General features: G+C 45.7%; 1 long non-coding RNA gene across 1 annotated transcript in view, besides 1 other annotated feature; it reads right to left on the minus strand.

Moving 5' to 3' along the window:
• Positions 1-10,485: 10,485 nt before the first annotated feature.
• Positions 10,486-23,006, minus strand: part of SDK1-AS1 (SDK1 antisense RNA 1) — a 108,539-nt gene continuing 96,018 nt past the window's right edge. The window contains exon 3 of the long non-coding RNA XR_001744897.3: positions 10,486-11,905. This is a non-coding gene — a long non-coding RNA (SDK1 antisense RNA 1). The remainder of the gene's footprint in view (positions 11,906-23,006) is intronic.
• Positions 10,832-12,031: an enhancer, noted in NCBI's record as "BRD4-independent group 4 enhancer chr7:3283525-3284724 (GRCh37/hg19 assembly coordinates)". NCBI's record gives its function as "activates an origin of replication core promoter dependent on BRD2, P300/CBP, MED14 and CDK7 cofactors, and independent of BRD4, by STARR-seq in HCT116 cells {active_cell/tissue: HCT116}" and the evidence as "EXISTENCE:reporter gene assay evidence [ECO:0000049][PMID:35650434]".

Here is a 23,006-nt window from a genome sequence, read left to right on the forward strand (position 1 = left end):
GAGAATAAGAGGATGTGATTTTTTTTTCTCTCTCTCTCTCTTAAAGGCAATTTTGTTTCTCCAGCATAAAGTCGGGTCTGTAATCCCTGGAGCCACGCAGGGTTCCTGCTACCTGTTTGTCCTGATTGTTCTCATTCAGTCCAGGTGATCAGCCAAGATATGTTTTGATGAAAATAGCAATTTTGCTCACCCCCAACCCACTTGCTTTTGTGTCCCCCGTCACTACCTCAATTTGGCCGTAATTGTACCGCTCCCATAACAACAGCCAAATAACTGGATATTTGTGGAGGGCTTATAACAGGGTTGTCCACAAAGCCACTGGCAACGCCAAACAGACCCTGTATATCAGCATCTCACAAGAGAGACAGCTATCCGGGGGAGCAATTCTTGGCAGCTCCCAATCAAACTTGCAGCTGACTGCTGATTACCTCTGCGTTTCCAATCTGAGGCACAGCACCCCATATTTCTCCCACATTTCCTCCGTTACACTCAGTCTCAGGACCATCATTCCCTCATGGCCTGCCTGGGACATTAAAACAATGCACACACAGAGGAAAACACACAACAAAAACTCTTTCTCTGCATTGAGAGCACCAAATTGCAGCAAAGATCAGGGAACCACGCGGTCTCAGGGCTGTGCTTCAGGTTGTGTGCTAGCTATCAGCACCAAGAATCAAAACATCTTTATGGGTATGGATACAGATTCCCTTTTTGCTGAGCCACTGTGTGATTTTGGGGAGCACGTTCGCTGATCAGGGTTATGAGAGCTGGATGGAGAGGAAGTCGCCTTTGTTCCGGCCTGCACGTCATGTCAAGCGAAGTTAGATATTTCCCTACCGACAGCTATTTTGATCTCTCAGTACTAAAGAGAACCGCTGCAGGTAACCCTGAAGTTGAATCCCACATTCTGTCTGAGTTTAGGACTAGGACTTTGCAAATTGACAGCTCACATACTTTTGCTGGTGTGCGGCCAACACAGAGATGGGCTTCAGTCAAATTCGGGAGAGGGAGGGAGGGCAATGGAGGGGGAGGGAGCGGCAGGGGTGGCAAGAGGAGAAGGCAAGAGGAGAAGGCAGGAGCAAGGGATGGTGCCTCCTGCCCGTCTTCAAACGCAGACTCACAGGGTTTGGAGGTGGCCGCAGTGTCACACCTGGAGCTACAGATGTAACAGCCATCAGAGGGAACTGCAAGCACAGAGCCCAGTCCTCCCACCCCTGCCCCTGAAGAAAGAGGTGGTGGACAACCACCTCTGGTGTCTCTGGCACCCAGGTGGGCTGGGCAGTGGGGTACCTGACACCTGGCAGCAAGGTGGGCCCTAAGGCCTGCAGGCCTCAGGTTGGCCCCTTAGAAATGGGTGTCAAAGGGCTGGGTGTGGTGGCTCACGCCTGTAATCCCAGCACTTTGGGAGGCCAAGGTAGGCAGATCACGAGGTCAGGAGATCAAGACCATCCTGGCTAACACGGTGAAACCCCATCTCTACTAAAAATACAAAAGCAAAATTAGCCAGGCTTGGTGGCGGGCACCTGTAGTCCAAGCTACTCGGGAGGCTGAGGCAGGAGAATGGCGTGAACCCGGGAGGCGGAGCTTACAGTGAGCCGAGATCCACCACTGTGCTCCAGCCTGGGCAACAGAGTGAGACTCCGTCTGAAAACAAAAAAAAAAAAAAAAAAAAAGAAAGAAATGGGTGTCAAATGTGTCCCTTTGGATGAAAATTAAGTTTTTAACCTAAACAGGGATAACGTCAATGTTTCACATTTGTAGGAACTACTGCCGTTTCCAAGCAATTGCTTTGTTTTACTAATGATTTGATCAACTCCATGCTTTTGGCTATATGTTTGCTGTCTGATTGTGCCAAGTGTGGACCCCAGGCCAGCAGCTTTGGTGTCCTCCAGAGCTTGGGATAGATTTGGACTCCAAGGCCCTCCCCAGCCATCCTGAATCAGAACTTGCGTTTTAATAAGATGCCCGGGAGATCCGTGGCAGGGATGAATCATTTCCCTGTAAGATGTGCTTTGGAATTTTAGTTTAAAAGCTCATCTTGAATAAGTGTGTGTGTGAAGCTAGAGGGGTAGGCTGGGCCTTGTGCACTATGATAGTTTGGCTTTCATTTTTCAAAGCACTGGAAAGCTATTGAAGAGTTTTACACAGGCTTGATGACATGATCAGACTTGGAAGTAATCTCTCTGTCTGCAGTGGAGCAATTGGACTGGAAGGGATCAGCATGGGTGCAGCCAGAAGTCATGAGGCTACTTTAGGTGAAATGGGGGTAGCTTGAACAAATGTCATGGTTGTGGTAGCGGTGGTAATGGTAGTAGTGATGGTGGTGGTAGTGGTGATGGTGATGATGATGGTGGAGGTGGTGGTGGGTTGATTGTGGAAGAGTGGTGATACTGGTATGGTGGTGATGGTGATGGTTATGGTGGTGATTGTGGTAATGGTGGTGGAGATGATGGTGGTAGGGGTGATGGTACTCGTGGTAATGATGGTGATGATGGTGGTAATGGTAGCGATGGTGATAGTAGTAATTGTGGTGGTAACGGTGGTTGTGGTAGTGTTGGTGGTTGTGGTAGTGATGGTGGTGATGGTGATAATGATGGTGGTGGTAATGGTAGTAGTGATGGTGATGATAATGGTGGTAATAGTGGTGGTGATGATGGATAGTGGTGATGGTGATTGCGGTGGTAGTGATGTTGGTGGTGTTGATGGTAATGGGAGAGATGGTGGCAATGGAAAGAAGTAGAAATTTACACAATACTTAAAAGGTAAAGTCAACAAAAATTAGTGATTATTGGAAATGGAAGATGAAGAAAAGGTTAAGTCAAATTTATTTTGTAAAAAGCTTAGTGCTGTCTTAAGTTGCTCTTGGTTAGTTGAACATGCACATTTGTTCATCTTCTTTCTATAGACAGTTTAATACTGTGCCTCAAACAGTCACATTCAGTCTCCAAACCACCACCACCAGCACACTACAAGTGTTCTTAGCTGCTGTGGTGGATTAAAGATGACTGCTCATTCTTTGACAATCCTTCCATCAAGAGATGGGGTCTATTTTCCTTTCCCTTTAATCTGGGCTGGCCTATCACTGCTTTGGCAAATCACTTATGGGAGAAGTGATGTGTAGAACTTCTGAAGCTAGGACATAAGAAGCTGTCCAGCTTCTGCTTGGGTCTCTTGGAGCACTCTCTCTGGAAGCCCTGAGCTACCATGAAAGATATCTGACCACCCTGACACCATCAAGCTTGAGGGGCCCCATGTAGGTGTTCTTTTCAATAGTCCTCATCTTTCAGCTGGACTCACCAAAGCCCCAGATAAGTGAGAAACCCCTTCTTGGAACCTCTGTATTGGTTCATCTGGGAGCTGAGTAAAACTGAGTGGCTTCAGTCAAAGCCACATGGAGCAGAAGAATCACCCAGCTGAGCCCTGTTCAAATCAAGCCCACTGTATTGTGAGATAGAATAAATGGATGTTGTTGAAAGCTGCTAAGTTAAAGGGTAATTTGTTAGGCAGCAGTGACTGGAACACCTGCTTTTCCATATGTGACAACAGAATTAGAGTAATAACTCCTATTCTTCCTTACCAAGCCTATTCTTCACCCACTCTGACCAGTAGCATAGCATGCATAAACAAGGGTGTATTCTGGGATGTGAAACAGAACCATTTTAGCTATTAGATGATGCAGATAGAGAAAAACAATACCCAGTGAGTGACTTAGTGGGTGAGGCCTCTCTTCCCTACCCCACCCCTACCCCTGGCATCTTGTTCCCAGCCTGAGGAGTTGAGACTGCTATAGTGGATGATCCAACTAACAGCCTGGTCCCTGGGGGGTGCCATGATCCATTGCCTTGTAACTGGGGGTATTTAAATTACTCAATTGGAACAGTTCTCCCCATGGAGGAGATTAAATTCCAAGTAACAGAAGTGAGGGGTGCATGAGAAGTGAGAGGACAAAAATCTGTCAACAGTGCTATTCCTCACCAAACCTCTGCTCATTGAAACAATGGCTCCTCAGTGATTCTCAGACTGCAAAAGCATATCCAACTTTAGAGGTGCGCAAAATGAGGGAAATAAATTGATGACTGCACCTGGTAACTCTTAAAACCTCTGTATGGTCCAGCTATGTTATTCTTGTTAACATTTTCATTGTAAAATGGCATTTCTTCCCAGGATAAAAGCTCACTGAAACGATGCCTTCCTGGGAGCATATGTACGAACGTCACACTCTGCCAATTTTATATCTGATTAAAACCTCAATACATCAAAACATCCTTTGAAATAATTAAGAGCATTTCTCCATTAGGGGCACGAAGCTAAATGTGTCCAAATATATCTGAAATCAGCAGATGGAACTAAGGGAATTAATAGAGTAGTACGACATTTTGCAATCATCTAAAAGAAAACAGAATTTGGCTTGCAAAGGATATACTTTTTCATTTGGGGTAAAATGAAAAGGATATACTTTTTCATTTGGGGTAAAATAAGGTGCATTTTCCACTCGCACTAAGCACCCCATTCGTACATGAATGTACATGTAATACATGAAGTACAATTTATCTCCAGGTTGTTGAAGGGAAAGCCATCATTTTCAGGGGTTCTGCTGCTCCCTGGGAAGGGAGCCTCCAAGACAGTTTTGATCCATTGATGAGTGCTGTCTAATGTGCTCCCTGAGGTACAGTTTCCCTAAATCTGTTAGACTTTTACAGTCGTCCAGGATCTGCAGTCTGGAGATGCTCCATCATACTGTATTAACTTGACAACGTAATGTACTGCTATCTTTTATTTTCATAGGAAGTACTAGGTTTGACCTTGAAACTCTTAACCACACTTTATAATCCTCAGCCCATCCTGGCAAAAAAGAGGCCATCCTAACAAATCCATCCTGGCTAGACTTGAGTCTGTAAAACGTTGGATTGGAATGCATAGGACTAGGGGAGGTGGGAGAGTAAGTAAGGGTCTTGACAGCTCTGTCTCAATCTTCAGGGGCAAATGAAGTGGGGGAATTGAGGAGACATGAGTTACGTTACCAGCTACAGTTCACTGAGCTCTTACCACGTGCCGAGCACTGTGCTTTACGTGGGTTATTCTAGTCACTTCTCATGAGGCTGACATTGTTCTTGCTTCATATATGAGGGTATTAATCCTTTTTCATGCTGCTGGTGAAGACATACCCAAGACTGGTAATTTATAAAGAAAAAGAGGTTTAATGGACTCACAGTTCCATGTGGCTGGGGAGGCCTCACAATCATGGTGGAAGGTGGAAAGCACGTCTTACATAGTGGCAGGCAAGAGAGAATGAGAGGCAAGTGAAAGGGGTTTCCCTTTATAAAACCACCAGATCCTGTGAGACTTATTCACTACCATGAGAACAGTATTGGAGAAACCACCCCCACGATTCATTTATCTCCCACCAGGTCCCTCCCACAACATGGGGGAATTATGGGAGCTACAATTCAAGATGAGATTTGGGTGGGGACACAGCCAAACCATATCAATGAGGAAACTGAGGCTCAGAGAGGTTAAGCAACTTACCCAAGGTCACCCAGCTAGTAAATGGCAGAGCCCGGATTCAAACTCAGGTCTTTTTGACTCAAAAGCCAAAGCTCTTAAGCATGATTCTATGATGACTCATTCTGCAGTGAAATCTCTGCTCTTGAGAATAGGAAGTGGGCTTGGACTGCACTTGACTGACTTGGTGCCTTCATGGGACATGGTTCAGTCATTCCTTTCACTTGCCATCAGCCCATAGCTGGACATTTCCTTCCTGGGTCCTTCTTGAGGAGCACAGAGTCCTTCCCTGGGGCTGGGAGTTATATGTCAGGTCTTCTTTCCTGCTCTAGAGACACCCCATGTGCCCCCAGAGTGGGAAATTAAAAGGGCCTGAAATGGTACCTTCATGCAAGTCACCTGGATGCTGAGCCTACTCAGAGGGCTTCCCTGTGTGTTTCCCTGGGCCATTTGGTCTATACTCAAGCACTAGGGGACGTCTGAAAGGCCCTGACCTCTGCAGAGAGCAGTGTCTTTGGGTGGTTGTATGGAGACCCCAGAGACCAAGCAGAAGGTGAACAGTCACCCACCCGATGGTAGACATGGGCACTGGCTTGGGGGATTATTGTACAGATCCATGGTGGGTGCTCCCAAATTTGCTTCTTCCTGCAAACCATAAAGGCTTTTAATTATTAAAGAATGATTCTTGAGGCTGGCCAATTTATCAGCCTCTGGCAAGAATAAAGAGTCAACCAGCCATGAATCCTATCTGATTACTAATAAGAACGACATAAAATGACACAAGTGCTGAGAAATGCTCTCGGTTGGGCTCCAGCCAAGGCAGACCTGGATCAAATGAGCCCAGGTTAAACCAGCTCCCACTTTCCCCGGTTGCCGAGTGGATGCGGAACGTTCTGTTCCGAAGGGCAGATGCTTACATGCTCCTAGCAGCAGAGGAAAGTAGGCAAAGCTGGTTTCTGGCATGGGCCACATGGCTCTTCCCTCCCAGGAGCGTTCTCACTTCCTCCACCAACGAGGCTCCCCCGCAGCTGCCTCTGTGCATCTCTTTGCCCCAGGCCTGGGCCCCGGCATTCTGCAAGGGGAACTTGGAGCCAGGACGGCTGGGTTTAAATCACATCATAAACAGCCCCTCACGTGTCCATCCACAGATGAATGGAAAAACAAAATGTGGCATATACATATAATAGACTATTATTCATCTATAAAGAGGTATAAAGCGCTGATACGTGCTACAACATGGATGAAACTTGAAAACATGCTCAGTGTGGCCAGGCACAGTGGCTCACGCCTGTAATTCCAGCACTTTGGGAGGCCGAGAGGTGGGAGGATCAGTTGAAACCAGGAGTTCGAGACCAGCCTGGCAACATAGCGAGACCCTGCCTCTACAAAAAGTTTTTAAAAAAAATTAGTTAGGTGCGGTGGTGTGTGCCTGTGGTCCCAGTTACTCAGGAGGCTGAAGTGGGAGGATCGCTGGAGCCCAGGAGGTTGAGGCTGGACTGAGCTATGATTGTGCCATTGCACTCCAGCCTGGGTGACAGAGCAAGACCTTGTCTCCTAAAAAAAAAAAAAAAAAAAAAAAAGAGAGAGAGAGAGAAAACATGCTAAGGCCGGGCACAGTGGCTCACACCTGTAATCCCAGCACTTTGGGAGGCCGAGGCGGGTGGATCATGAGGTCAGAATTTCAAGACCAGCTTGGCCAAGATGGTGAAACCCCGTATCTACTAAAAATACAAAAATTAGCCAGGCATGATGGCAGACATCTGTAATCCCAGCTACTTGGGAGGCTGAGGCAGGGAATTGTGTGAACCTGGGAGGCGGAGGTTGCAGTGAGCCAAGATCGCCCCACTGCACTCCAGCCTGGGCAACAGAGGGAGACTCCATCTCAAAAAAAAAAAAAAAAAGAAAGAAAAAAAGGAAAAAAAGAAAGAAAGAAAGAAAAGAAAATATGCTAAGTGAAAGAAGCCAGACACAAAAGGCCACATCGTGTGCAATTCCTGTTATATGAAATGTCCAGAATGGGCAAATCCGTGAAGACAGAAAGCAGATTGGTGATTGTCAGGGGGCGGGGGTGGGGCGAAAGGAGGAACGACTGATGAAGGGGTAGGAGTTTCTCTTTGGGGTGACGAAAATGCTTTGGTGCTAGATAGAGGCGTGGCACAACATCATGGATGTACTAACTGCCACTGAATGGTTCACTTTAAAATGGTGAATTGAATGTTATGTGAATTTCACTCCAATAAAAAACAGAAACAAGTCACATCAGGGTGCTCCTTCAACAAGCACTTCCTGGGGAAAAGCCTTGAGACCCACGAGCGGTGAGCCCTAAGGCAGGCTGGGATCTGGGAGCGCCGTCGTGTCCTGGGAGAAGTTCAGTCCCAGCGGGCTCCACCACCCACACCCGCTCCTTCCTCCTTTGAACGCAGAGGCTCTGGCGACGGTGGCAGGAGCCACGCAGAGCGGTGGAGCTTCCAGCGTGGAGAGGGGCACTACAAGGACCTGCCTCCATGCAGCTGCTGAATCCACGCCCGTTGCTTGGTGTCACCACCTCCTAAGTTTTTGTTATTGAGAAGAATAGATTCGTATTTGTTGAAGGCACACTGAGAACAAGTCAACAGAAGCAGTCATCTGCGAGAGCTTGCTGTGGGCCCCGTGGGAGACTCGCAATATGGTGGGAGACGGATTTAGAAACAAACAGTGATGATTTTTGTGCATTAAGTGCAACGCGAGAGCTGGAATCAGGCTGGGCCCGGTGGCTCACGCCTGTAATTCCAGCACTTTGGGAAGCCAAGGCAGGCAGATCACTTGAGGTCAGGAGTTCGAGACCAGCCTGGTGAACATGGGGAAACCCTGTCTCTACTTAAAATATAAAAATTAGCCAGGCATGGTGGCGGGCATCTGTAATCCCAGCTACTCAGCAGGCTGAGGCGGGAGAATTGCTTGAACCTGGGAGGCAGAGGTTGCAGTGAGCTGAGATCGCGCCACTGCACTCCAGGCTGGGCAAAGGGATCGAAGCTCCTTCTCAAAAAAAAAAAAAAAAAAAAAAAAATAGAGCTGGAATCAGAGGCATGTAGGAGCCCAGAGAAGGGGTCCCTGACCATCACCCAGGTGAGGGGCCCTTAAGCCATGGAAGGCTTCCCTGAGTGCCTGAGGAGAGTCTTGGGGCCTGAGGAGGAGCGGGAGGTAGCAGAGAACAGAGATGACAGTCAGAGAAAGGCCTGGAGGAGAAACCCTGAGTGGCCCACACAGGAGCCCAGCCACCTATGCAGGAAACAGATAACCAGCTCGGCTTTGCAAGAGTGTAGTGTGCATGAGATTTTTAAAACATTAACATCAATATCTACAATCTTCTGGCCACCCTCCGTGCTGGCCTTTGCCATGCTGACCTGGGCAAGGGGTGGAGGGGACAAGGTTGGAAAGCCAGGGCTGGCTGCATGTCTCCACCTGCGGAAGGAGAGGAGGTGGGCTTCAGGGAGAAGAGGGGGCAAGGGAGTGGCATTTGAGGATTAATGAAGAGAGACAAGGAAATGAGATGAGGGGCTCCCGTAAGGACTTGGGCTTTGAAGGGAGAGGTGTGAAAAGTGGGTTTTTAGGACAGCCCTCTGCAGCTGTAGGTCTTCCGAAAGAAGTTGTTAGTAAAGACTCTCACTAGGTCAGTGCTTTTTGGAGGGGGATTTTCTGTTGGTTGCACTGCTGGCTGTTGGAGAGAGTCCCTATTAAAATAGAAAATAGAAGGCCCAGTTTCCTTTGGCTTATGGTGAGGTACAAGGCAGGGCTGAAGGAGGTGAGGCAGGTGGATACACAGAGTTTCACACCTCAGAGGATCTCTTGGGCCTGGAACTTTTCTGTACACAGAAGGGAACTTTGGGATCTTGAGGAAATTTTAGCTTCTCTAATGCTCAGTTTCTTCTTCTTTTTCTTTTTTTTTCCTTCCTTCCTTCCTTCCTTCCTCTCTCTCTTTCTTTGTTTCTTTCTTTCTTTCTTTCTTCCTTTATTTCCCTTCCTTCCTTCCCTCCTCTCTCTCCTTCCTTCCTTCCTCTCTCTCTTTCTCTTTTTCTTTGTTTTCTTTCTCTTTCTTTCTTCCTTTCTTTTCCTTCCTTCCCTCCTCTCTCTGTCTCTCTCTTTCTTTCTTTCTTTTTTCTTTCTTTCCTTCTTTCTTTCTTTCGTTTTTCAGGGTCTTGCTCTGTTGCCCAGGCTGCAGTACAGTGGTGCAATCATGGCTCACTGTAGCCAGAACCTCCCTGACTTAAGCAATTCTCCTGTCTTGGCCTCCCAAGTAGCTGGGACTACAGGCACACATCACCGTGCCTGGCTAATTGTTTTATTTTTGGTAGAGATGGGGTCTTGCTATGTTGCCCAGGCTGATCTTGAACTCCTGGGCTCAAGCAATCCTCCCACCTCAGCCTCCCAAAGCACTGGGATTTCAGCGTGAGCCACCACACCCGACCAGTTCCTTCTTTAAAATGAAGATCATAATGATCCCTGCACTATAGTTTTATTACAAGTATTACATAAAACCACACGTGAGAATAGAACTAACCCACTTCCCGGCCTGGAGCAGGCCCTTCATTCAGGCTTATTGAATCTGGACCTGCTTTGGCCCCACCCAAACCGATATGCCCCAGGTCCTGTTTATTTATGGACAGCCCTCACCCTATGGAGCTGATCCAGTGTTTGCCCCACAGCATCATAATGGCATAGGCAACAGGACAGTGTCACATTTCACAGCAGCCTTTCTTCCCTGTTCTGAAGGAGGGAGCCACATGGACGTTTTAGTGGACAGAGGAGAAACACACACATGCTTTGTGTCATGACAAGGCTCTGCCATTGCACTGGCTCAAGATCAAGGGCCTAAAGTGAGGAACAAAAGGCCAAGGCACACCAATGCAATAGAACAGTAACAGCATGTACCGCTGACTCAGGTCCTCTGCCTACCCTGGGCAATGTCTCCCTCAATCTTTGCAACACCCCTATGACATGGGTCAAAAAGTGCTCCTTTTTTTTTTCCTGAGACGGAGTCTCGCTTTCTTGCTCAGGCTGGAATGCAGTGGCACAATCTCAGCTCCGCCTCCCAAGTTCCAGCTATTCTCCTGCCTCAGCCTCCCTAGTAGCTGGGACTACAGACATGCACCACCACGCCCAGCTAATTTTTTTTGTATTTTGAGTAGAGACGGGGTTTCACCATGTTGGCCAAACCTGTCTCGAACTCCTGACCTCAAGTGATCCGCCCACGTCGGCCTCCCAAAGTGCTGGGATTACAGGCCGTGAGCCACCGCGCCCAGCCTCAGAAGTGCTCCTTTTTTACCAATGGAGAAACAGCCCAGAGAGGAAAAGCGATTTGCACAGAGTCACGCAGCTGAAGACTGGCAGATCCAGGCTGTTTGCTGTCAGTCTGAGCTCTCGAATTCTAAGACGAGCCACTTCTCTCGGGAAGCCAGGAAGGCTCCTCGCAAATCCTGGTGGAGAAGTGGTTACCTCAAAGCCCTTTAAGCACAGTCATAAACTTACCTTGAAGGGCCAGGTAATCCGATCATAGAGTCGGCGTTCAAAAAAAAAATGAGGTATTGATATGTTTATCCTCACCCTCATAACCTGTTCTATTCAAATAAATTCAGTGTGCTCAGTTCTGCAGGGAGTGACAGAGCTGCCCCGAATCAGATGGTGCCACGCACATCCCATTTCTCTTGCGGGATCATTCCTGGAGGAGCTTCCTGCAGCCAAATGACATCGAGTGTGACCATTTCAAAGTACAAACAGGATTAAAAGGAAAACATCTGTACCTTACTAGGCTGCACTAACTCAGTTACAAACAAGCTGTGTAGATATCCAAATGCGCAGTGACTTTTGCTGCAGAGGTGGGTGGTGACCATCTGGACTGGGCATTGATTAGAAGATAACTGGACATCCGTGTGACTGCATCCTTGGTGGGGGTCAGGGCACAGAGATATATGTTTGATTCCACAATGTCAGTGTGACTCAGAGACCCTTTTGTTGTCGTTGTTTATATTACAGTTAGTGAGTCACCCACTACACCTCCCTCCTGGGATGAAGTCCTGAGCTGTAGAATGACTCCAAACAGGCACGACTGCTTTATTAGCAGGCTTTGACTCCCATACAGGGCTCTGAACATCAAACAAAGTTGGCCAGGATTTGATCCTCAAAAGAGAAGATGGGATCCCATCAAGATGTCCACATGCCTAACGCCTGTTGGTCCAAAAGAGTCTCATTTTGTAGGGGGAAGAAACTTAATTACCAGCGCAGGAAGAGACTCTCAGAACATGTGGTTTTCAGTTTTGCCAAGATTCCAGGCCAACTTATTACTCTATTATCATTGTTGTTAATCTTTGCTTGAAAGATGCATGAAGTCAGTAAGTCCCTTTCTTAAGGACACCAAAGCTGGGAGTCTCTGAAAAACAGGACCAAACAGTGGACCACTGGTCAGAGGCACGATGTGAGTAAAGAGTAGCAGAAATATTTTTGTCATGTATCCACATTAAAGGGTGACTATAAAGTATGTTCCACAATGGCTTTTTTTTTTTACCCCCTCAGCAAAGAAATAGCACTCTATTTTGTTTGGAAAACCTACTTTGATGCCTCAAAAAAATAATGTGCTTTTCTGATTCTGATTTTTCCTCTTTTCTTTCAGCAACTGTGTTCTGCCTGTCTCTAAACCAGTACTTGGAAGGAATGTCTCTCTCTCTCTGTTTATATTTCTATGTTTCAGAGTCAACGTCATGGCTAAAGGAGACGTGATTTGCAAAAAGGCTTGTTCTCCAATAGCCAAGGAAAATATGTTTTTTAAAAATCTTGGTAATGCATTAGTTTTGGCATCTTTAAAACTCCTTTTTCCTTTTCTTTTTTTAGGGGGTAGGAGGACAGGGTCTTGCTCTGTTGCCCAGACTGGAGTGCAGTGGTGCAATCATAGCTCACTGAAGCCTTGCTCAAGCCTTCACTCCTGAGCTCAAGTGATTCTCTTTCCTCAGCCTCTCCAATATGTGAGACTACAGGCATGTGCCACCACAACCACCTAATTTAAAAAAAAAAAATTTGTAGAGATGGAGTTCTCCCTATATTGCCCAGGCTGGTCTTGAGCTGGCTCAAGCAATTCTCCCGCTTTAGTCTCCCAAAGCGCTAGGATTACAGGTGTGAGCCACTGTGCCGAGACTTGTTTTTCTCCTCTTTTTGTGATCCCTCCCAAAATTTGCTGTCAATAAACTGTGTGGTCCTGTGAGTGACCCAGGGCAGAGACAAGCATTGTAGCCCTGTCACCAACTGGCCAAAGATGGCTGCTACATGATTTCCCTTATCCAATCTAAAGGGGGCTATTGGAGGGGGACAGAGGGCCATCTGTGTCCACAAAACGAGCCCAGAGTTGGGACTGCTGGGACTATACACATGTGACCGTATGTCCAGTTGAGAGTTGTCATACATAACCAGACAGTGGAGGAGCATGGTGGTCAACCCAGAAATGATGAGTTGGGTTCTAGGGCTGACAGACTGAAGGCTTTATGAATGACCTTTTCACTTCGTTGACACATAGGTGACCCCTGTGTCCTCTAAATGGTGCAGGCCAGGCATCTTTTCCGAGACCTAATGGTTCCTTCTCTTTTATAAATGGCCAGATCGAAGGGCATTAGTGCTCTCAGGCACAATAGGCCTCAAAGGCCCCTGCCTCCTTCCTAAATGGGCCTTACTGCAAAACCCTAATGCACTTCCTCACACTGGGACCTCAGCTGGCTCTGTGCACAGGCCTCCCTGCAGCACAGGCCCTCCCTGCAACCACAGCAGTCACTAATGAATATTTTATCAGTCGCCATGCCTCTCTGTGCAGGCTGTATCTGGAAGTCATCTTTGCTGATTTGACAGCCTTTCTGCCTTAAAGGAGCCACCAGCAATGATGTGTTGCCATCTGTTTAGAAATGAGGACTCAGCCAGCCTCCCAGTTAAGCTGGAAAGCTGATCCTCCTTAGAACAGATATTTGAAAAGAGGGCTTTGCTCTCATGAAAGCCCACAGTCTGCCCCTGCAGTTCCCTTGTTACTAATTCCAGTGGGGGAAAAAAAATTAAGAAAATGTAGACCTAGAAGATCAGAAGATTGCCTCTTCAAAAGGCACTAGTTTCTAAGAGTAGTATTCCTATTATTTTATTTTAGATCTTGGGTGAATTCATTTATTTCTACAACAAATGTTTATCTAGTTCCTACTTCATCAGAAAAAACACTGGAACTCAGCCCGGAACAGGAAGAAGCTGACTTTGCCCTCGGAGAACAGACAGCCTAGTGAGGAATTCACTGACTTGCACATTCATTTATTCAACACCTATTTACAGAGTGACTATGATGTGCCTGGCATTGCTCCGGGGACAGGGATACACAGTGAACAAAACAAACAAAAATCATTCTGCTGGAAGACAAAATATAATCACACAATGTATATAATTATTAAATGCGATAAGCACAATGACAAACATTTCCTTACAAATGCCTTTCCTGAGATTCTATATCCAGCTAAACTATCATTCAGCAGTAAAGACAAAACCGAGACATTTTCAGATATACAACAAATAAGAGAGTTTCTTATGAGCAGGTGCTCACTGTCAGAGGAAAGTGAAAAAAGTGAACAAAGACGAAAGAAACAAGAGGCAGCACAAAAATCCAGGAAATACATTAACAAATGCAATGAATGACTGCAATTTTTGTATTTTAACAGAGAAAAAAATGAACATTCCTGAAAATAGTAAAATAGAAAACCAAGATAAAGGAGAAAGGATTTTTAAAATCTGACTTTTTAGTCAAACAAAGAAAGCAAACAAGCCTCTAGCAAGATTGACTTTTAAAGAGGGGTACAAAGGCATAAATAATAGCAGGAATAGGGCCAGGCACCGTGGCTCACGCCTGTAATCCCAGCACTTTGGGAGGCCAAGGCAGGTGGATCACGAAATCAGGAGTTTGAGGCCAGCCTGACAAACATGGTGAAACCCCGTCTCTACTACAAATACAAAAATTAGCCGGGCGTGGTGGTGCGTGCCTGTAATCCCAGCTACTCAGGAGGCTGAGCAGGAGAATCGCTTGAACCCGGGAGGCAGAGGTTGCCGTGAGCCGAGAATGCACTACTGCACTCCAGCCTGGGTGACAGAGTGAGACTCTATCTCAAAATAATAATAATAGCAATAATAAATAAAAACAGATGCAGTTGAGTTTTTTTTTTTTTAATTAGGAGAATGCAATGAATACCTTTATGCTAACAAATTTGAAAACTTAGATGAAATGAATAATTTTATAGAAAAAGACTACTAAAATGGACCCACAGCCTGGGCAACATAGTGAGACCCCCATCTCTACAAAAAATCAAAAAAGTTGCTGGGTGTGGTGGTGTACCGCTGTGTTTGGGAGGTGTACTCAAGAGGCTGAAGTGGGAAGACCGATGGGGCCGAGGAGTTCAAGGCTGCAGTGAGCTATGATCACCCCACTGCACTCCAGCCTGGACAACAGACCAAGACCCTGTTTCAAAAAATAAAATCTCCCAGCAGTTTGGGAGGCCAAGGCGGGTGAATCACCTTAGGTCAGGAGTTTGAGACCAGCCTGGCCAACATGGTGAAACCCTGTCTCTACTAAAAACACAAAGAAAATTAGTCAGGCATGGTGACACACGCCTGTAATCCCAGCTACTCGGGAGGCTGAGGCAGGAGAATCACTTGAACCCAGGAGGCAGAGAGGTTGCAGTGAGCTGAGATCAGTCAGAGGTTGCAGTGAGCTGAGATCATGCCATTGCACTCCAGCCTAGGCGACAGAGCAAAATAAAATAAAATAAAAAATAGAGCCAAGAAGATCTTTTAAATATGAAATAAATCAACAACTATTAAAGAAATTGAACTGGCAATCAAAAGTTCTCCCACAACCACTCCCACACCTCCCCCACCCCTCGCCCCCACCATACACACAGACAAAAGACAGATTGTTTTCCAGGCAAGTTACAACAAAGCTTTGAAGAATAGAAAGCCCTCATTTTATGAAAACAGTTTCAGAGACTAGAAAAAGGGGGGAAGGTATTGAAAGAACTTGATAAAGTTAGTATAATCAGGAAGCCCAAACCAGAGCCTCATGGTGCCACCAGGAGAGAAGGTCCTAGCACCTTTGTTCTATCAGCTGGGGCTCTGCCTGTCACGCTGGAAACAAAGGTTTCAATTACACAGAGTAACTGTCAGGAAAAGGCAGGTTAGCTGTTGGCTGTCTTTCACATCAAACTATGTGTTAAAGTGGCAACTTTCTTTACTCCGCACAGATCTCACACTAGACCTAGATGAGGCTGGGCCAGAAGCAGGAATTTCAAAGAGGAGCTTTACCAAATGCATCCTGGTTTATGTAAATGCAGGTGCCAATAATATCACTGGAACGGTGGCTCATGCCTGCAATCTCAGCACTTTAGGAGGCCAGGGTTGGGGAATGGCTTAAGCTCAGGAGTTCGAGACCAGTCTGGGCAACATGGCGAAACGTCATCTCCACAAAAAATACAAAAATTAGCAGGACATCATGGCCCATGCCGCTCATCCCAGCTACTCAAGATCCTGAGGTGGGAGTTTTGCTTGAGCCCAAGAGTTTGAGGCTGCAGTGTGTCAAGATTGCACCACTGCACCCTAGCCTGGGTGAGAGAGCAAGAACTTGTCTCAAAATAATAATAATCATGTCACTTCACTAAAAATGAGAAATCTGGAGCCAGATACAGTGGCTCACGCCTGTAATCCCAGCACTTTGGGAGGCCAAGGTGGGAGGATCACTTGAGGTCAGGTGTTCAAGATCAGCCTGGCCAACATGATGAAACCCCATCTCTACTAAAAATACAAAAATTAGTCAGGCGTGGTGGAGGGCACCTGTAATCCCAGCTACTCAGGAGGCTGAGGCATGAGAATAGCTTGAACCTGGGAGGTGGAGTTTGCAGTGAGCCGAGATTGCGCCACTGCACTCCAGCCTGGGTGACAGAGCGAGATTAAGTCTCGAGAAAAAAAAAAAAATGCTGGGACAAATGCTAGACGAAATGGGACGCCAGGACAACCGGTAAAAGCCAGGACTCTGCTGAGCCAACCAGGAAATGAAGGTAAATCTCACTCTAGCAAGAGAGTTAATGTTCTGGACGTAAAATCAAAACACCAAGTCAAAAGCATCCCTCCATAGCAATAGAAACCACTTAGAAAGTGTAATAGAAGGAAAACACACATGAAGGTATTAAAGGAAAAACACACACAACAGCCACCGAAAGTATTTATGGCCGGGCGCAGTGGTTCACACCTGTAATCCCAGCACTTTGGGAGGGCAAGGCGAGTGGACCACTTGAGATCAGGAGTTCAAGACCAGTCTGAGCAATATGATGAAGCCCCATCTGTACTAAAAATACAAAAATTAGCTGGGCGTGGTGGCATGGGCCTGTAATCCCAGCTACTCAGGAGGCAGAGACAGGAGAATGGCTTGAACCCAGGAGACTGGGGTTGCAGTGAGCTGAGATCATGCCACTGCACTCCAGCCTGGGCGACAAGAGTGAAATTATGTCTCAAAAAAAAAAAAAAGTATTTACACCAACTGTGAATGTATCTACTTTAAAAGAACTTTATAAAGAACAGTATAAAACATGATCAGAAAAAAATATTTTTAAAAGCATCCAGAAATTATATCAAGCATACCTGGTCTTGTTGTACTTTGCTTTATTGTGTTTTGTGGATACTGCATTTTTACAAATTGAAGATTTGTGGCAACCCTGCATGAAGCAAGTCTATTTGAGTCACTTTTCCAACAGCATTTGCTCACTTTGTGTCGCTGTCACAGTTTGGTAATTTCCCCAATATTTTGAACTTTTTCATTATTATTATGTGTTATAATAATCCATGATCAGTGATTTTTTATTTTTTATTTTTTGAGATGGAGTCTCACTCTGTCACCCAGGCTGGAGTGCAGTGCCACAGTCTCTGCTCACTGCAACCTCCGCATCTCGGGTTCAAGTGATTCTCCTGCCTCAGCCTCCCAAGTAGCTGGGATTACAGGTGCCCACCACCATGCCTGGCTAATTTTTGTATTTTTAGTAGAGACAGGGTTTCGCCATATTGGTCAAGCTGGTCTCAAACTCTTGAGCTCAAATGATTCATCTGCCTCGGCCTCCCAAAGTGCTGGGATTACAGGTGTGAGCCACTGCATCTGGCCCGATCAGGGATCTTTGATGTTACTATTGTAATTGTTTTGGGGCACCAAAAACCACGCCCATATGACAGCAAACATACTCTGTACATGTTGTTCATGTTCTGACTGCCCCACCAACTGGCCTTTCCCTGTCTCTCTCCCTCTCATTGGGCCTCCCTCTCCCCTGAGAAACAACAATGTTGAAATTAGGCCAATTAATAACCCTACAATGGCCTCTAAGTGCGCAAGTGAAAGGAAGAGTCACACATCTCTCACTCAAAATGAAAAGCTAGAAATGATTGAGCTTAGTGAGGAAGGTGTGCTGAACGCCAAGACGGGCTGAAAGCTTGGCCCCTTGCACAAGGTAGCCAAGTTGTGAATGCAAAGGAAAATTTCCTTCCTCTCTTGAAGGAAATTAAAAATGCCGCTCCAGTGAACACAGGAATGATAAGACAGGGAAACAGCCTTATTGCTGATATGGAGAAAATCTGAGTGGCCTGGATAGAAGATCAAACCAGCCACAACATTCCTTTAAGACAATTCCTAACCCAGAGCAAGGCCCTAACTGTCTTCAATTCTATGAAGATGGAGAGGTGAAGAAGCTGCAGAAAAAAAAAGCTGGAAGTGAGTAGAGGTTGGTTCATGAGGTTTAAGGAAAGAAGCTGTCTCCATAACATAAAAGTGCAAGGTGCCAGGCACGGTGGCTCACACCTGTAATCCCAGCACTTTGGGAGGTTGAGGTGGGTGGATCAAGAGGTCAGGAGTTCGAGATCAGCCTGACCAACATGGTGAAACCCTGTCTCTACTAAAAATACAAAAATTAGCCAGGTGTGGTGACACACGCCTGTAATCCCAGCTCCTCAGGAGGCTGAGGCAGGAGAACTGCTTGAACCCAGGAGGCAGAAGTTGCAGTGAACCGACATCACACCACTGCACTCCAGCCTGGGCGACAGAGTGAGACTCTGCCTCAAAAAAAAAAAAAAAAAAAAAAAAAAAAAAAGTGCAAGTTGAAGCAGCAGCAGATGCTGATGGAGAAGCTGCAGCAAGTTCTCAAGAAGATCTAGCTAGAATCACTGATTAAAGTGGTTACACCAACCAACAGATTTGCAGTGTAGAGAAAACAGCCTTTCATTGAAAGAAGATGCCATCCAGGACTTTCATAGCTACAGAGGAGAAGTCAATGCCTGGCTTCAAAGTTTCAAAGGACAGGCTGGCTCTCTTGTTAGGGGCTAATGCAGCTGGGGACTTTAAGTTGAAGTCAATCCTGAAAATCCTGGGGTCCTTAAGAATGATGCTATATCTACTCTGTCTGGGCTCTGTACATGGAACAGAAAAGCCTCAAAGACAGCACATCTGTTTACAGCATTTTTTTTTTTTTCTTTTTGAGATGGAGTCTCGCTCTGTCACCCAGGCTAGAGTGCAGTGGTGCAATCCCGGCTCATTGCAAGCTCCGCCTCCTGGGTTCACGCCATCCTCCTGCCTCAGCCTCCCAAGTAGCTGGGACTACAGGCGCCCACCACCACGCCCAGCTAATTTTTTGTATTTTTTAGTAGAGACGGGGTTTCACCGTGTTATCCGGGATGGTCTCAATCTCCTGACCTCGTGATCCACCCTCCTTGGCCTCCCAAAGTGCTGGGATTACAGGCGTGAGCCACTGCGCCCAGCCTACAGCATGTTTTACTGAATATGTTAAACCCGTTTTTGAGACCAATTGCTTATAAAAAAAAGATTTCTTTCAAAATATTACTGCTCATTGACAATGCACCTTGTTACCTGAGAGCTCTAATGGAGATATACAGTAAGACGAATGTTGTTTTCATGCCTGCTAACACAACATCCATTTTGCAGCCCATGGATCAAGGTGTAATTTTGATTTTCAAGTCTTATTATTTAAGAAATACATTGAGTGAGACCGTAGCTGCCATAGATGGTGATTCCTCCAATGGATCTGGGCAAAATCAACTGAAAATCTGGAAAAGGTTCATGATTCCATGGCTATTAAGTACACTCAGTATTCATGGGAAGAAATTAAAATAGCAACATTAATGGAAGTTTGGAAGAAGTTGATTCCATCCCTCATTGAGGACTTTAAATGGTTCAAGACTTTACTGGAGTAAGTATTTGGCTGGTGCAAAAGTAACTGCTGTTTTGCCATTACAAGTGCAGATCCGTGGTGGAAATAGCAAGAGAACTAGATACAGATGTGGTAGAAATAGCAAGAGAACTAGAATTGCAGATGTGGTGGAAATAGCAAAAGAACTAGAATTAGAAGTGGAGCCTGAAGATGTGATGGAATTGCTGCAATCTCATGATCAAACTTTGTTACAAAAATAATTTTAGACTTTTATTTTAGATTCAGGAGGTACATGTGCAACTGCATGATGCTGGGGTTTGGGGTGTGAATGATCCTGTCACTCAGGTAGTAAGCATAGTACCCAGTAGGTAGTTTTTCAGCCCTTGCTGTCCTCCCTCTCTCCCATCTCTGGTAGTTTCCCATGTCTGTTGTTTCCATCTTTATGCCCATGTTTACCCAATGCTTAGCTCCCACTTATAAGTGAGAACATGCAGTGTTTGGCTTTCTGTTCCTGTACAATTTGCTTAGGATAATGACTTTCAGCTGCATCCATGTTGCTGCAAAGGACATAATTTCATTTTTTTATGGCTGGGTAGTATTCCATGGTGTAGATGCACCACGTTTTCTTTATCCAATCTGCCATTGATGGGCACCTAGGTTGACTCCATGTCTTTGCTATTGCAAATAGTGCTGCAGTGAACATACAAGTGTGTGTGTCTTTTTGGTAAAATGATTTATTTTCCTTTGGGTTTATATCCAGTAAAGAGATTACTAAGTTGAATGGTAGCTCGTTTTAAGTTCTTTAAGAAATCTCGTAACTGCTTTTCACAGTGGCTGAACTAATTCACATGCCCACCAACAATGTATAAAGCGTTCTCTCTTCTGTGCAGCCTCACCAGCATCTGTTATTTTTTGACTTTTTAGTAATAGCCATTCTGACTGGTGTGAGATGGTATCTCATTGTGATTTTGATTTGCATTTATCTGATGGTCAGTGACGTTAAGCATTTTTTCATGTTTGTTGGCCGTTTGTATGTCTTCTTTTGAGAAGTGTCTGTTGGCCAGGTGTGGTGGCTCACACCTGTAATCCCAGCACTTTGGGAGGCCAAGTCAGGAGGATCACTTGAGCCTTGAACCTTGAGGAGTTTGAGACCAACCGGGGCAACATAGGGAGACCTTGCCTTTACAAAAAATGAAAAATTAGCCAGGTGTGGTGGTGCACTCCTGTGATCCGAGCTACTTACGAGACAGGTGGGAGGATCGCTTGAGCCCAGGAGGTTGAGGCTGCAGTGAGCCGTGATTGCACCACTGCACTCCAGCCTGAGCAAGAGAGTGAGACCCAGTCTAACAAGAAATACCCAAAAAGTGTCTGTTCACATCCTTTGCCCACTTTTCAATGGTGTTGTTTGTTTTTGCTTGTTGAAATTGTTTAAATTTCCTACAAATTCTGGATGCTACACCTTTGTTGGATGCATTAGTGGATGAAGAGTTGTTCCCTATGGATGAGCAAAGAAAGTGATTTCTTAAAATGGAACCTACTCCTGATGAAGACATTGTTGTAGGAGCTAAGAAGAGAGTTCTCCTTGGCTCTGTGATGGTTCACTGAAAAAATCACCTCTCAAAAGGCAGATTAACTGGAGAAAAGACATGCACATTTATTTTAATTGTATACAAGGAAACTTTTAGAATGAAGACCTAAAGATACAGGGAAAATTGTCTGTTTTCTTTTCTTTTTTCTTTTTTTGAGACAGAGTCTCACTCTTATCACCCAGGCTGGAGTGCAATGGCATGATCTTGGCTCACTGCAACCTCCACCTCCCGGGTTCAAGTGATTCTCCTGCCTCAGCCTCCTGAGTAGCTGGGATTATAGGCGTCTGCCACCGTGCCCGGCTAACTTTAGAGACAGGATTTCACCATGTTGGCCAGGCTGGTCTCGAACTCCTAACCTCAGGTGATCCACCCACCTTGGCCTCCCAAAGTGCTGCGATTACAGGTGTGAGCCAGCGCACCTGGCGTCCATTTTCATGCTTACATTCAACAAAGTATGCACAGCCATGTAGAAACATGATTGGACAAAAAGTGTGTGATCTAATGGTAATAGACTTAGTGGAGAAAGCCAGCGAGACCTATCTGTCTAGATTCTTCTAGGCCTCTCTGAGAGTGAATTCCTTAGGGGGCAGGACACTTTCTGGAATGGGACTCTTACGACCTACAGTCTAAAAAGGTAGATCAGATAATTTCTTTATCTGATCCACCTTTTTTTACACAGATAGGGCAGAGGGAAAGTTAAGTAATCTTTTTCTGGTTTTATGGCTGGCTTGGGGGAAAAAGGGGTTCTGGTTTCTATGACCTGCTTTGGGGAAGAGGGATTCTAGTTTTTGTGGTGCCTCTGGGGAGAATGGGACTAAAAGACAGGCAGGAGGGCAGAGAAAAACCTTTTGCTTCTGAGGCCCTCATCTTGGAGTATTGTTTTCTGAGTCCCAACACTGTAAACTTTGTTGAAATGACAACAGAGGATTTATTAATAGCACAGTATCATGAATAAACTCAACATAAACTTAGTTGATAAAGCAGCAGCAGAGTTTGAGAGGATTGGCTCCAATTTTGAAAGAAGTTCGACAATGGGTAAAACACTATCAAACAGCACCATATGCTACGCAGTAATTTTTTGTGAAAGGAAGAGTCCATCAAGGCAGCAAACTTCATTGCGGTCTTATTTTAATAAATTGCCACAGCCAGCCCAGCCTTCAGCAACCACCACCCTGCTCAGTCAGCAGCCATCAACATCGAAGCCAGACTCTCCACCAGCAAAGAGATTATGACTTGATTAAGGCTCGGATGATCATTAGCACCTTTTAGCAACAAAGTTTTTGTTTGTTTGTTTGTTTAGATGGAGTCTCACTCTGTCACCCAGGCTGGAGTGCAGTGGCATGATCTTGGCTCACTGCAGCCTCCACCACCCAGGTGCAAGCAATTCTCCTGCCTCAGCCTCCCGAGTAGCTGGCACTACAGATGCACGTCACCATGCCCAGATAATTTTTTTTATTTTTAGTAGAGATGTGGTTTTACCATGTTGGCCAGGCTGGCCTTGAACTCCTGACCTCAAGTAATCCACCTGCCTCAGCCTCCCAAAGTGCTGGGATTACAGGCATGAACCACCATACTGGGCCAACAAAATATTTTTTAATTAAGACATGTTCACTGGTTTTTTAAATATACATATATATATATTCTAAAATTCTATTGTGCACTTAATAGACTATAATATAGGGTA

Source organism: Homo sapiens, chromosome 7, assembly GCF_000001405.40.
Source record: "Homo sapiens chromosome 7, GRCh38.p14 Primary Assembly".
NCBI lineage: Eukaryota > Metazoa > Chordata > Mammalia > Primates > Hominidae > Homo > Homo sapiens.